The sequence below is a fragment of the Homo sapiens genome, chromosome 3 (assembly GCF_000001405.40).
Source record: "Homo sapiens chromosome 3, GRCh38.p14 Primary Assembly".
NCBI classification, from domain to species: Eukaryota; Metazoa; Chordata; class Mammalia; order Primates; family Hominidae; genus Homo; species Homo sapiens.
The window spans coordinates 52,563,138-52,577,665 of NC_000003.12; the positions used below are offsets into that span (position 1 = coordinate 52,563,138).

At 41.1% G+C, this 14,528-nt stretch overlaps 1 protein-coding gene across 159 annotated transcripts in view, besides 1 other annotated feature; it reads right to left on the bottom strand.

The window, feature by feature from the left end:
* Positions 1–14,528, bottom strand: part of PBRM1 (polybromo 1) — a 140,547-nt gene that overhangs the window by 17,771 nt on the left and 108,248 nt on the right. For 156 of the 159 annotated variants that reach the window (NR_175959.1, NR_174502.1, NM_001405585.1 and 153 more), the window contains 3 exons: positions 13,404–13,561; positions 913–1,096; positions 146–356 (listed from right to left, as the gene is read on the bottom strand). Coding sequence is in view for 157 of the 159 variants with exons in the window: in NM_001405585.1 (NP_001392514.1) it covers positions 146–356; positions 913–1,096; positions 13,404–13,561 (553 nt within the window). In the remaining 2 variants the exon portion in view is untranslated. Of the gene's footprint in view, positions 1–139; positions 357–912; positions 1,097–13,403; positions 13,562–14,528 lie in introns of all 159 variants that reach the window. The other 3 variants (NM_018313.5, NM_001400471.1, NM_001405570.1) reach the window with 2 other exon arrangements.
* Positions 9,163–9,363: a silencer, noted in NCBI's record as "peak4655 fragment used in MPRA reporter construct". NCBI's record gives its function as "represses an SCP1 promoter by STARR-seq MPRAs in K562 erythroleukemia cells {active_cell/tissue: K562}" and the evidence as "EXISTENCE:reporter gene assay evidence [ECO:0000049][PMID:32103011]".

Consider the following 14,528-nt stretch of genomic DNA (forward strand, 5'->3'; position numbering starts at 1 on the left):
GGCACTGACAAAATCTGTTCCTTCCTGCAGAATTCTAAGTTAAAGCTCACATATGGAGGGGCTGGATGTCACTTTACTTTGGTTTTGAGTCTGCTGCAAACCAAAGGTGGTAATAAGATAAGTAACAGGAACCTGTCACCTTCACCTGTGGGGGTGTGTAGGGCATGAGGTCCAGCTCACTGGCCAGGGGGGTCTGAAGCTGAGGTAGAGAAGGAGGTTCAATGACCTCACTATCTTCTTCTCCCATCTCTTCAATATCATCATCTCCACCTTCTAACTCGGCAAATTTAGCTTCTAGCAACTGGATCTTCTTTTCCAGCAAAGGTGATGGCTCCTTCTGAGGAACAATTGGTTTTCTGAAAAAAGTGACATAAAAAACCTAAAATCACCTAATGCCCCTCCAGAATAAGCCGGAAAGCAGTGTTCCACCTTAACAACTAGAAGTGACTTCCTGCAATCTGCAATATATGCTCTAAAGGCAGCATGGAAAGAGTTTAAATGTGTATTTATGAAATTACTTGTACTTAGAGATGCTTGTTTTTAAATAATTATGCTGAATATCCACAAAAGTATTGTGTCCAAAGTTGGGATCTAGTTGCCTATACACAGCAAAAAGAGTTTTCATAATCTGTGGAACTGAGAAATCTCCTGACAGGATATAAACCAGAACCAAGTGTTTCTGCCTCATTCCACAATTATTGGAGTCTACGCCAAGGGCACTATTAGAGCAGCCACCAGGTCCCAGCAGATTATGAAGTCTTTCCTTTAATCTTTAAGTGAATAAATATTTTCTATTTGAAATATTTACTACTCTAGTTTAAGATCTAATAAAAAATTAAAAACACTGGACTACACTATGTTGCTATCAGTTAATGGAAGTGCTCTTTTTTCCTTAAGTTTTTCAAGCTTTACCTGAAGTAGTAAATTTCATCATCTACCACTTTAGCAGAGAGTGAAAACCTCTTCAATCCTTTGAATTTCTTCATCTGCTTGTCGCTCTCATTGTAGCGGCTCTCACAAAGCAGAATGTCATTTTCTGGTATTTCAGTTGGCCTGCAGGAGAGGAAGTCCTTGAATGACAACACAGCACACTTTCCTGAAAGAGAAAATTAGAAAGAAATTAAAGGAGTAAACTGTGGTCATAGTTACTAACTGTTTTAACATTTTATTATTTTTGGATGAATACATTCATATAATTAACAATTTTAAAGATATGAAAGGGGCTAGGCATGGTGGCTCAAGCCTGTAATCTCAGCACTTTGAGAGGCTGAAGTGGGCAGATCTCTTGAGCTCAGGAGTTTGAGACCAGCCTGGGCAACATAGTGAGACCCCCAAATTCTACAAAAAAATACAAAAAATTAGCTGGATGTTGTGGTGCATGCCTGTGGTCCCAGCTACTCGGGAGGCTGAGGTGGGAATCATCTGAGTCTGGGAAGTCTGAGTCTGAGGCTACAGTGAGCTGTGATTGCACTACTGCACTCCAGCCTGGGTGACAGAGTGAGACCCTATCTCAAGAAAAAAAAAAAAAGATATAATACAATATGTATTGGCATAAGGATAGAATATATAGGTCAATGGAATAGAACTGAAAGTGTAGAAATAAACCAATATAATAGGGCTTTTATGGATAATTGATTTTTGATAAGGGTTCCAAGACAATTCATTGGGGGAAAGAACACTCTTTTCAACAGATGGTACGGTACCAGGACAACTGGATTTCCACTTCTGCACATGAATGCAGTTGAACTCCTACCTCCTATCATATATAAAAATTAATTTGGCCAGGCGCAGTGGCTCATGCCTGTAATCCCAGTACTTTGGGGAGGCCGAGGCAGCAGAAACACGAGGTCAAGAGATCGAGACCGTCCTTGGCCAACATGATGAAACCCCATCTCTACTAAAAATACAAAAATTAGCTGGGCGTGGTGGCGTGCACCTGTACTCCCAGCTACTCAGGAAGCTGAGGCAGGAAAATTGCTTGAACCTGGAAGGCGGAGGTTGCAGAGAGCCAGGATGACGCCACTGCACTCCAGCCTGAGCGAAAGAGCGAGACTCCGTCTCAAAAAAAAAAAATTAATTCAAAATGGGCTGGGTGCAGTGGCTCATGCCTGTAATCCCAGCACTTTGGGAGGCCGAGGAGGGTGGATCACCTGAGGTCAGGAGTTCGAGACCAGCCTGGCCAACATGGTGAAACCTCGTCTCTACTAAAAATACAAAAAAATTAGCTGGGCTTGGTGGTGCGCTCCTGTAAGCCCAGCTACTCAGGAGGCTGAGGCAGAAGAATTGCTTGAACCCGGAAGGCAGAGGCTGCAGTGAGCCAAGAGCACCCCAGTGCACTCCAGCCTGGGCAATAGAGCGAGACTCAGTCTCAAAAAAAAAAAAAGGGGCTTTATCAAAATTAAGAACTTTTGTGCTCCAAAGGATACTATCAAGAAAGTGAAAAGATAAGCCATAGAAGAAAATATTTGCAAATCATATATCTAGTAAGAGTCTAGTATACAGAATATATATTCCTACAACTCAACATTAAGACAAATATATAACCCAATTAAAAAATGTGCAAAAGATATAAATTGACATTTCTCTAAAAAAAGACATACGAATGTCCAATAGGCACATGAAACAATGCTTAGCCAGGCGCAGTGGCTCATGTCTGTAATCCCAGCACTTTGGGAGGCCGAGGCGGGTGGATCATGAGGTCAGGAGATCGAGACCGTCCTGGCTAACACGGTGAAACCCCGTCTCTACTAACAGTACAAAAAATTAGCGGGGTGTGGTTGCAGGCGCCTGTAGTCCCAGCTAGTCATGAGGCTGAGGCAGGAGAATGGCCTGAACCCAGGAGGCGGAGCTTGCAGTGAGCCGAGATTGCGCCACTGCACTCCAGCCTGGGCGAAAGAGCGAGACTCTGTCTCAAAACAAAACAAAACAAAACAAAAAAAACACAATGCTTAACAGCATTCATCATCAGGAAAATCAAATCAAAACGGCAATGTAATACTACTTCACACCCCATTAAGATGCCTGTATTAAAAAAAAAACCCAAAACAGAAAATAACAAGTGGTGGTAAGGATGTGAAGAAAATGGAACCCTTGTATCTTGGTGGGACTGTAAAATGGTGCAGCTGCTGTGGAAAATATTTAGGCAGTTTCTCCAAAAAGTTAAACACTGAGTTACCATATGACCTCGCAATTCTATTTCTAGGTATATATCCAAAAGAAATCAGAGGATCAACTACTTGTACACCACTGGTAAGAGCAGTTTTACTCACAATAGCTAAAATGTGAAAACAACCTACATGTCCATTAACAGATGTAGTATACATATAATGGAATATACAGCCTTAGGAATAAAATTCTGATATATGATACAACATGGATGAGCCTTGAAAACATTAGGCTAAGTAAAATAGGCCAGATCCAAAGGGACAAATATTGTATGATTCCACTTATATGCAGTATATAGAACAGGCAAAATTCATGAACAAAAAAAGTAGAACAGTGATTACTAGGGCCAGGGGGAAGGGGAAAATAAAGAGTTGTTTAACAGGTACAAAGTTTTTATTTGGGATAATGAAAAAATTCTAGAAATGAACAGTGGTGATAGCTGTACGGTATTGTCAATGGACTTAAAGCCACTGAACTGTGTATTTAAAAACGGTTAAGGCTGGGCGTGGTAATCCTAGCACTTTGGGAGGCCAAGGTGGGCGGATCACCTGAGGTCAGGAGTTTGAGACCAGCCTGGCCAACATGGCGAAACCCCGTCTCTACTAAAAATACAAAAATTAGCCAGGCGTGGTAGCTTGCGCCTGTAATCCCAGCTACTCAGAAGGCTGAGGCAGGAGAATTGCTTGAACCTGGGAGGCGGAGGTTGCAGGGAGCCGAGACTGTGCCACTGACTCCAGCCTGGGTGACAGAGAAAGACTCCATCTCAAAAAAAAAAAAAAAAAAGGTTAAAATGATGAATTCTATGACATATATATAAAACAATAAAAAACTCCCATAAATGGTAGCATATCACTTAAAACTGTTTTGCATCTGAATTTTGTCACAAAATAATATGTCTTGGAGGTCACGGCTTGTATGAATGTACTAAGTTTATTCAACTAGTTCCCTATTGATGGGTATCTATGTTGTTTCCCAATGTTTGCTCTTCTGCTGACGCTAAATAATGCTGAAATAAATAATTTAAGACATATCAATTTGCACGTAGGTGAATACATCTGAAGCATAAATTTCTAGAACTATAAAAGCTGGGTTAAAGGGTATGTATACACTTTTTAAATTTTTGTAGGTATTATCAAACTGCCTTCCATAAAGGGTGTCCTAATTCACAGACTACCCACAAAGTAGGTAAATACCATTTCCTCATGCTCTTGTCAACTAGTGAGAAATGTCTTCTGGATCTTTGACAATTTGATAGGTAATCTCAAAAAAAAAAAAAAAAGAAAAAAGAAAAAAAGAAAAATGAAAAAGAAAAGAAGAAAAGCACCTGGGTAGCTTTAACTAGCATTTCTCTAATGGCCAAGGTTGGGTATATTTTCTTTTCTTTTCTTTTTTGATCTCAGCTCACCGCAGCCTCTGCCTCCCAGGTTCAAGCAATTATCCTGCCTCAGCCTCCCGAGTAGCTGGGATTACAGGCGTGTGCCACCATGCCTGGCTAATTTTTGTGTTTTTTTTTTTTTTTTTTTTTTAGTAGAAATGGGGTTTCACCATGTTGGCCAGGCTGGTCTCGAACTTCTGACCTCAGATGATCCGCCTCCCTCAGCCTCCCAAACTGCTGGGATTACAGGTGTGAACCACCGTGCCCAGCCGGGTATATTTTCATTTGTTTAAGAATCACTGGTAGTTTCTTTTTTTTTAAGATGGAGTCTCGCTCTGTCACTCAGGTTGGAGCGCAGTGGTGCGATTCTGGCTCACTGCAACCTCTGCCTCCTGGGTTCAAGTGATTCTCCTGCTTCAGTCTCCCAGGTAGCTAGGACTATAGATGCCTACCATCATGTCCAGCTAATTTTTGTAGTTTTAGTACAGACAGGGTTTCACCATGTCGGCCAGGCTAGTCTTCGACTCCTGACCTCAGGTGATCCACCCACCTTGGCCTCCCAAAGTGCTGGCATTACAGGTGTGAGTCATCACACTGGGCCCTAGTAATTTATTTCTGCTCTCCTTTATTTTCTTTGCCTATTTCCCTGCTGGATGTTGATCTTTATCTAATTGCTTTATAGGAGCTCTTCATCTATGAGGAAAATCAGATCTTTGTCTATGATAAACATTGCAAATATTTTCTCAAGATTGTCATTTTTGTTTTTGCCAGTTTTGGTCATATAGATATTTTCCATTTTTATACAGCTGAATTTATCAGTATTTTATTGTATGAGTTCTGGCTTTTATGTCAGAGATTAACAAAATTTCTTTCTCATGGTTTCTTTTGGTATCTTTGTTGTTTAATTTTATGTTTATTTAAATTTATAATTCATCTGGAAATCTATCCTGAAGTTAAGATGTGGGATATGGCTACAATTTTATTTTTCCAAATGGTTATTGAATTTCCAAACACCATTTGGAGAAAAATACTTCTTTCCCCACTTACCTGATATGCCACTTTTACCATATATTTGCTAAACTTTCTATTTTGTTCAAATAACCTGTTTACTCATATATCATATAGTTTTAATTATTGTAGTGCTATAATGTTTTAATATCTGGTAAGGATAGATCCCCTTTCACTATACTTTTCAGAATTTTCCTGAGTTCCTTTTTCTTTTTTTGAGACAGGGTCTCACTTTGTTGCCCAGCCTGGAGTGCAGTGGTGAGATGACAGCTGCTCACTGCAGCCTCAACCTCCTGGGCTCAAGCGATCCTCACACCTCAGCCCCCTACTCCGGGTAGCTGGGACTACAGACAAGTGCCACTCAGCTAATTTCTGTACTTTTTGTAGAAATGAGGTTTTGCCATCTTGCCCAGGCTGGTCTCAAACTCCTAGGCTCAAGTGATCCACCCACCTCGGCCTCCCAAAGTGCTGGGATTGATAACAGGAGTGAGCCACTGCACCCGATTCTAAGTTTCTTTTTCAATATGATTTTTTTTTTTTTTTTAGATGGAGTCTTGCTCTGTTTCCCAGGATGGAGTGCAGTGGCGCGATCTCGGTTCATTGCAAGCTCCGCCTCCCCGGTTCACCCCCTTCTCCTGCCTCAGCCTCCCAAGTAGCTGGGACTACAGGCGCCCGCCGCCATGCTCGGCTAACTTTTTGTATTTTTAGTAAAGATGGGGTTTCACCATGTTAATGAGGATGGTCCTGATCTCCTGACCTCGTGATCCGCCCGCCTTGGCTTCCCAAAGTGCTGGGATTACAGGCATGAGCCACCGCGCCCGGCCTTCAATATGATTTTTAAAATGAGTTCACATAGTATCAACTTCCTCACAAGCAAATTCCCACTGGTATATCTAATGGGATCATATTAAAGATTAATTTAGGGAGGATGGACATCTTTATGACATTGAAACCTACCTAGGCATATGGTACTGCTTTGCAATTTGTTCAAGCATTCATTCAATAGCATTTTAAAACTTTTTTCATACAGATGTGGCATATCTTGTTAAGTTTATCTAAGGTATTTTATTAGTACTGAATCTTTTAAGATAATAGGTTTGTTATTTATTTATATTCAATCATCTCACTTCTCTTACTGTTTGCCATGATTTCTTAGTTGATGCTCTTGAATTTTCACCTCCTTACTTTTCTTATTTTAGACTTCTGTTTCTTCTAACTCCACTGGCTAGTACCTCTAGAACAATGTTAAATAAGTGTGATAAGGACATCCCTATTTTGTTTCTTTTCTTTTTTTGTTTTTTGTTTGAGACGGAGTCTCACTCTGTCGCTAGGCTGCAGTGTAGTGACTCGATCTTGGCTCACTGCAACCTCCACCTCCCAAGTTCAAGTGATTCTTTTGCCTCAGCCTCCCCAGTAGCTGGGATTAAAGGCACCCACCACCACGCCCACATCAGCTAATTTTTGTATTTTTAGTAGAGACAGAGTTTCACCATGCTGACCAGGCTGGTCTCGAATTCCTGACCTCAGGTGATCCGCCCTCCTTGGCCTCTCATAGTGCTGGAATTACAGGCATGAGCCATCGCACCCAGCCAGAACATCCCTATTTTGCTCTTGACCTTAACAGGAATGTTCATAGCTAACAACTTACTAAACATGTATATGAAAAACAGGTCAGAAACATTTCCAAAGCTTAAAATAGCTACAATTACTATCACTGCTTTGAACTTACACAGCACTTTTATTTACATAATTCAAAGGCCTTTTAATTCAGAAAAGGGATAATTACAATTTTCCATATTTTATAGAAGGAAAAATAGACATTAGGAAAAAATAATAATTCTGCTTACAACCAAAGAGTAAAAGTGATTGGTGGCTTTGGAATGGAGGTGGTATCTCTGTGTCCTGACTTGGAGCTCCTACCAAGCCCCCAAAAGACAGGGAAAAGATGAAAGTTTAGAAAACTTCATTTAATAAAGTATAAAAAAATTATCAAGACCTGCTGGATTTTGATTGGAATTGGAACGAACCAATAGATCAATTTGGGGGGAACTGGCATCTTTTTAATATTGAATTTTCCAGCTATAAATATGATGGATAACTTTCATTTACTTATGTCTTCAATTTCTCAATAATTTTCTTATAGTTGTGTGTGTGTGCGCACATGTGTGCACATGCGTGTGCAGGTGCCCTACACATCTTTGTTTCTTCGTTTTTTTTTTTTTTGGTAGAGTTTCCTTCTGTTGTCCAGGCTGGTCTTGAACTCCTGGTGTCAAGCGACTCTCCCATCTTGGCCTCTCAAAGTGTTGGGACTACAGGCATGAGCTACCACGTTGGCTATCTTTTAAAGATTTATTCCTGGCTGGGTGCCATGGCTCATGCCTGTAATCTCAGCACTTTGGGAGGCCGAGGCAGGCGCCTCACGAGGTCAAGAGATTGAGACCATCCTGGTCAACATGGTGAAATGCTGTCTCTACTAAATATACAAAAATTAGCTGGGCATGGTGGCACACGCCTGTGGTCCCAGCTGCTCGGGAGGCTGAGGCAGGAGAATCGCTTGAACCCAGGAGGTGGAGGTTGCAGTGAGCCGAGATTGTGCCACTGCACTGCAGCCTGGACGACAGAACGAGACACTGTCTCCAAAAAAAAAAAAAAAAAAGATTGGCCAGGCGTGGTGGCTCACGTCTGTAATCCCAGCACTTTGGGAGACTGAGGAAGGTGGATCACGAGGTCAGGAGATCAAGGCCATCCTGGCCAACATGGTGAAACCCCGTCTCTACTAAAATACAAACAATTATCCTGGCATGGTGGCGCATGCCTGTAGTCCCAGCTACTCAGGAGGCTGAGGCAGGGGAATAGCTTGAACCCAGGAGGTGGAGGTTGCGGTGAACCGAGATTGCACCATTGCACTCCAGCCTGGGCAACAAGAGCGAAACTCCATCTCAAAAAAAAAAAAAAAAAAAAAAAAAAGATTTATTCCTAGGTATTGAATGCAAATGGTAATAATTTTCTAATTGCTCACTGATGGGATACAGATACAGAAATAGAAATATTGGGGCTAGGTAAGGTAGCTCATGCCTATAATCCCAGCACTTTCGGGGAGGCTGAGCAGGGAGGATGCTTGAGGCCAGGAGTTTGAGACCAGCCTGAGCAAGAGGGATACCTCATCTCCCCAAAAAAAAAAAAAAAAAAAAAAAAAAAAAAAATTAGCTGGGAGTGGTGGTACATCCCTATAGTCCCAGCTTCTTGGAAGGCTGAGATGGGAGGATTGCTTGCGCCCAGGAGTTGGAGGCTGCAGTGAGTTATGATTGTACCATTGCACTCCAGTTTGGATAACAAAGCGAGATCTTGTCTCAAACAAAACAAAAAAAACTTCATATTTTCATTTACTAATTTTAATAGTTTATCTGAATATCTCTTGGATTTTCTACATACCTAATATTTTTGAAAAAAAAAAAAAAGGCCCTTTTGTTTTTCCTTTCAAATCTTTAGATCTTTTATCTTCCTTGCCTTACTGAGGACAGTTTTTAAATTAATGAAACGTTATAAAAATCTACTGTGAAGGGAACAAAACCTGCAAATAAATTAGGAATCGGCATGTTTCAAGAGCCCAGGTTCCTGGAAATTTTATCACCTAAGGGGTTAAGGGTAGAGGTACTGTCTGCCACATGTGGCCATCTGATTACTGTTTAAGTTCTTTTTTTTTTTGAGACGGAGTCTCACCCTGTCACTCAGGCTGGAATCCAGTAGAGTGATCTCAGCGCACTGCAACCTCTCCCTCACAGGTTCTAGCGATTCTCCTCCCTCAGCCTCTGAGTAGCCGGGATTACAGGAATGCACCACCACAGCTGGCTAATTTTTTTTTGTATTTTTAGTAGAGATGGGGTTTTACCATGTTGGCCAGGCTGGTCTTGAACTCCTGATCTCAAGTGATCCACCTGCCTCAGCCTCCCAAAGTGCTGGGATTATAGGCGTGAGCCATTGTGCCCAGCTTGATTACTGTTTAAGTAAATGAAAACAATTCTTCAACGAAACTGAAAAAAGAACATAACCGTTGGAAAAACAGGATTGTCTCCTTTGTATGTAACAGAAGATGAAAAAATGATACACCTCATCTAATTATCTTCAAAACTTCTATTTCAGAGACACAAAAAAGTGCAAAATATGATTTACATTTAATAGTGGTTAGAGTTAATACAATGAAATTATAAATTCTCTAAAGCTTATATAACAAAACCCTTTTTCCTTGGAGGCTGGGGACAGTGAATTCCACAAGCTAGGCTGAAATCCCACTTTGTGATTACTAGATGCATTTTCTTTTGGGTTTTATCTCAAGATGAAGTTACTTATATTTCATTATATGCCTGTTGTCCTACCTGATATTACTGGCACCTCCTTTAATTCTCAAAAGTGTGCCAGCTAGCTGTAGACTAACTAAAGAAGAATTAGGAAAACCTAGGTTTTAGTTCTGGCCCACTCCCTGGGTAGTAACTTCACCTTTCTGACAATATCAGCATCTTTCTTCCAGGGTCATGTTGAAAATTAAATGAGATCCTGGATATAAAACTGGTAGATAAACTGTAGAATGCAACACATTTTCTTTCTTTCTTTTTTTTTTTTGTTACATAGAGTCTCTTGCTCTGTCTCCAGCCACAGGCTGGAGTGCAGTGGCTTGATCTCAGCTCACTGCAACCTCCACCTCTCGGGTTCAAACAATTCTCTTGCCTCAGCCTCTCTAGTAGCTGGGATTACAGGTGCACACCACCACGCCCGGCTAATTTTTGTATTTTTAGTAAAGATGGGGTTTCACCACGTTGGCCAGGCTGGTCTCTTAACTCCTAATCTCAGGTGATCTGCCTGCCTCAACCTCCCAAAGTACTGGGATTACAGGCATGAGCCACCATGCCCGGCCAGAATGTAACACATTCTAACAGGCATCTTTAGAAAGAAATTACTCCAAGTTATGTCAGTGAATATGGAGGAGTAGTGAGCTCTAAGGGCCATTACTTCACAGAAACAGTGAAAAAAGCAGAATAAACTTTATTGGAATTCTGTAAGATAGTCAAAGGTTTACAGCAACCAAGCAAATGCTTAATTAAGAAAAAAAGTGACTGAAACTTGGCAGGAAAGCTCTGTGGCATTTTAACTTACCCTCACTCCATTCCTTACTTTCTGTCTCAGTGGCAGCCTTGAAGATGGCAGCCTCTATTCCTGGTGTAAGATTGTGGTGATAGAGGAAGCAAAACAGCTCCATGCTCCAAGAACTGTGGTCATCTGTTTTGACCTGTCAGGCAGCTTTCTAAACACTAATGCAAAGTGCTTGCCTTTATTGTGCTTAGCTTGGAATTCCCTTGGTGGAGAAGTGTCTAGGTTTTTTTGTCAAAAACATTTTGTCTTAGTTTGTTTGTGCTGCTATAACAGAATACCACAGACTGGGTAATTTATAAAGAACAGTTTTCTCACAGTTCTGGAGGCTGGAAAGTCCAAGATAAAGGTGCCAGCATCTGGCAAGGGCTTTCTTGCTATGTCATCATATTTCAGAAGGCAGAGGGCAAGAGTGTAAGAGACAGCAAACCCATTCAGACAGAGCAGACCCATTTACATGAGCCCTTTTTATAAAAGCAATATTGTATTCACGAGGACAAGCCCTCATGACCTAAACATCTCCTAAAAGTCCCCACTTCCCAACACTGTTGCACTAGGGATTACACTTTAAGTCATGAATTTCGAAGGGGGCACAAACATTCAAATCACAGCACATTTAAAGTCAAATGAACCAGCTGTTGCCGGCTGGGGCAAAGGGTATCAGTCAGGACCAACAGTAGATATGACAAAAGGCCTCAGAGGAAAAGATGAGGAGTGAGATGCTTTGGCCAATAAGGGTTTTGAAAAGTTTCCACACATTCCTGGGAGCCTAGAAGGCCACACACATGCCAACAATAGTGTACATGCTCAGAAAGGACCTAAGAAGGCCCTAAGATCTCATTTCTGGCTGACCTTCAAGCTCTGCACAAGTAGGAAGTAAAGGCAAAGCAGAGTTGTAATCTGCATGGCTGAGTGTTGAAGGTGTGCTCCACCATACGCAGAGAAGTCAGCAGTGAAGACTGGGAGTTTTATGGTTTTATTGGCTCCACGTATTTACGAAAACCTCTGTCAAATCACTGGCTGATCACTAAGCTTATAGAACAGAGACTGTAGTAACCATATACAACAACAACAAAAATCTTTTATTTTTTGAGACAGGGTCTCACTCTGTTGCCCAGGCTGGAGTGCAGTGGCATGATCATGGCTCACTGCAGCCTCGACCTCCCTGGGCTCAAGTGATCCTACCACCTCAGCCTCCTGAGTAGCTGGGACCATGGATATAGACCACCACACCTGGATAATTTCTGTATTTTTTTGTAGAGACAGGGTTTCGCCATCTTGCCCAGGCTGGTCTCGAACTCCTGGGCTCAAGCGACCTGCCCATGTCAGCCTCCCAAAGTGCTGGGATTAAAGGTGTGAGCCACTGTGCCCAGCCAAAAATACAATCTTTAAAACAAACCAAACAAACAAACAAACAAACAAACGTTTAGAAGAGTCACTGAACAAACAACCATAACCTATAATAAGTATTAAGAACAAAGCCTGAGGATGGGGAGAATCTGATTTCCAGAGTTATCATGTTATAATACCCAAAATGAGCACTTTTCAACAAAAAATTATCAGGCATGCAAAGAAACAAGAAGGCACAGCCCATTCATAAGAAAAAACAAAATGAACAGAAATTGTTCCTGAGAAATTCCAGACACTGGATTTACTAAACACATACTTTAAATCAATTGTCTTTTTTTTTTTTTTTTTTTTTTTTTGAGACAGTCTTGCTCTGTCATCCAGGCTAGAGTGCAGTGGCGTGATCTTGGCTCACTGCAGCCTCTGCCTCTGCCTCTGCCTCTGCCTCAGCCTCCAGAGTAACTAGGATTACAGACATGTGCCACCATGCCCAAATAATTTTTTTTTTTTTTTTTTTTTTAGCAGAGACAAGGTTTCACTATGTTGGCAGGCTGTTCTCAAACTCTCGACCTTAGGTGATCCACCCGCCTCGGCCTCCCAAAGTGCTGGGATTACAGGCATGAGCCACCATGCCTGGCCTTAAATCAACTGTTTTAAATATACTCCAAGATCTAAAGGAAACCAGTAAAATGTCATTGCAAATAGTGAATATAAATGAAGAGACAAATTATAAAAACTAAATTCTGGGGCTGAAAAGTACAATAACTGAAATGAAAAATTTATTAGAAGGGTTCAACAGAAGATTTGAGCAGGCAGAGGATGAATGCACCTGAAGACAGGCCATTTGAAGTTATCCAGTCTGAGGAGCAGAAAGGAAAAAAAAGGTAAAGAAAAATGAAGAGTCTGAGAGACCTGTGAGGCACCATTAAATGTACCAACGTTAAGTATAATGGGAGTTCCTGAAGGAAGCAGAGAAAGGAGCAGAAAGAATATTTGAAGAAATGGCCAAAAACTCCCCAAATCTGATGAAAGACATGAACAAAAAAAACTATCAATGGAGAATTCTATATCTAGGAAAACTATCTTTCAAAAATTAGCTCAGTGCGGTGGTGCATGCCTATAGTCCCAGCAACTTGGAAGGCTGAGGTGAAAGGTTTGGTTGTGCCCTAATTACCACCTGATATTCTATATATTTATTTTTTAATTTATCGACTGACTCCCCAATCTCTGCCCCAACATAAGAGAACAGAGATTTGGATTTGGGCACTGCTCTATACCTAACACCTAGAACAGTGCCCCACAGAAGTAGTATTCCATCAATTTTGATGGAATAAACACGATTAAATAAAAAAGCACAAATACCTACCGAGAATACATGTCATGGGGCAGGTTTCTTCCAGATTACTCAGAAATACTTCTTTTTTGTAGAACATTTTTGTGGGCTCATGCTCTGTTTCTTCTGGGTGAATGAAGATGGGGCCATAAAAATATGCAGCTCCATCTCGAACCCATACTTTTTCAATTCTTGGGGAGGAAAATATATAAATTACATTAAAATAGTTTCCTTCTTGAAGGATTAATCTAACAAAAATCGCATTAACCAAAAACTTAGTAATGTGTACCATTCAGAGGAGTTTCACTGGCTGTTTTGGTAAGACAACTTCATTAATTTTTTCCCCCATTAAACACATGAAAAGATACTTAGAAAAAGAGAAAGGAACATTTGACTATTTTTCCAAGTGAAAAAAATTTTTTAACTTAATATCAAGGCACAAAACTTAATAGTTTTATCTAATGACCAGGTTTTCTTCCTGAGACGTTCATGATGAAAACAGAACTAAGCATTTGTCATTGGACTTGTGAACCAAACAAAGACATAAAACATCAATATTTGGGGTCAGATCACATGAGTGGCAGACATTCCTTTAAGACAGTGGTTTATAATCTTTTTGAAGGTCAAGATCTAATATCCCTGGCTGGGCCCAGGGGCTCACGCCTGTAATCCCAGCACTTTGGGAGGCCAAGGTGGGCGAATCACGTGAGCTCAGGAGTTCAAGACCAGCCTGGACAACATGGTGAAACCCCATCTCCACTAAAAATACAAAAATTAGCCAGCCCTGGCAGTGTGCACCTATAGTCCCAGCTACTTGGGAGGCTGAGGTGGGAAGATGGCTTGAGCCCAGGAGGTGGAGGTTGCAGTGAGCCAAGATCATGCCACTGCATTCCAGCCTAGGTGACAGAACCAGACAATGTCTCAAAAAAAAAAAAAAAAAAAAAAAAAAATCTAGTGCCCCTTCACCCCTTCAGAATTTGATGAAAGCCATTATTCTTGACAACTAACCCATAAAGCTGACATTATTATTGCTCCATATTATCGTGATTCCTGACCTGAAGTATCATACTTATTTCAGTTAATGGTAACTGCAACCTTCCTGTTCCTCAGGCTTACACACAGGAGTCATCCTTGACTTTTTTATCTTTCTCAGACCCC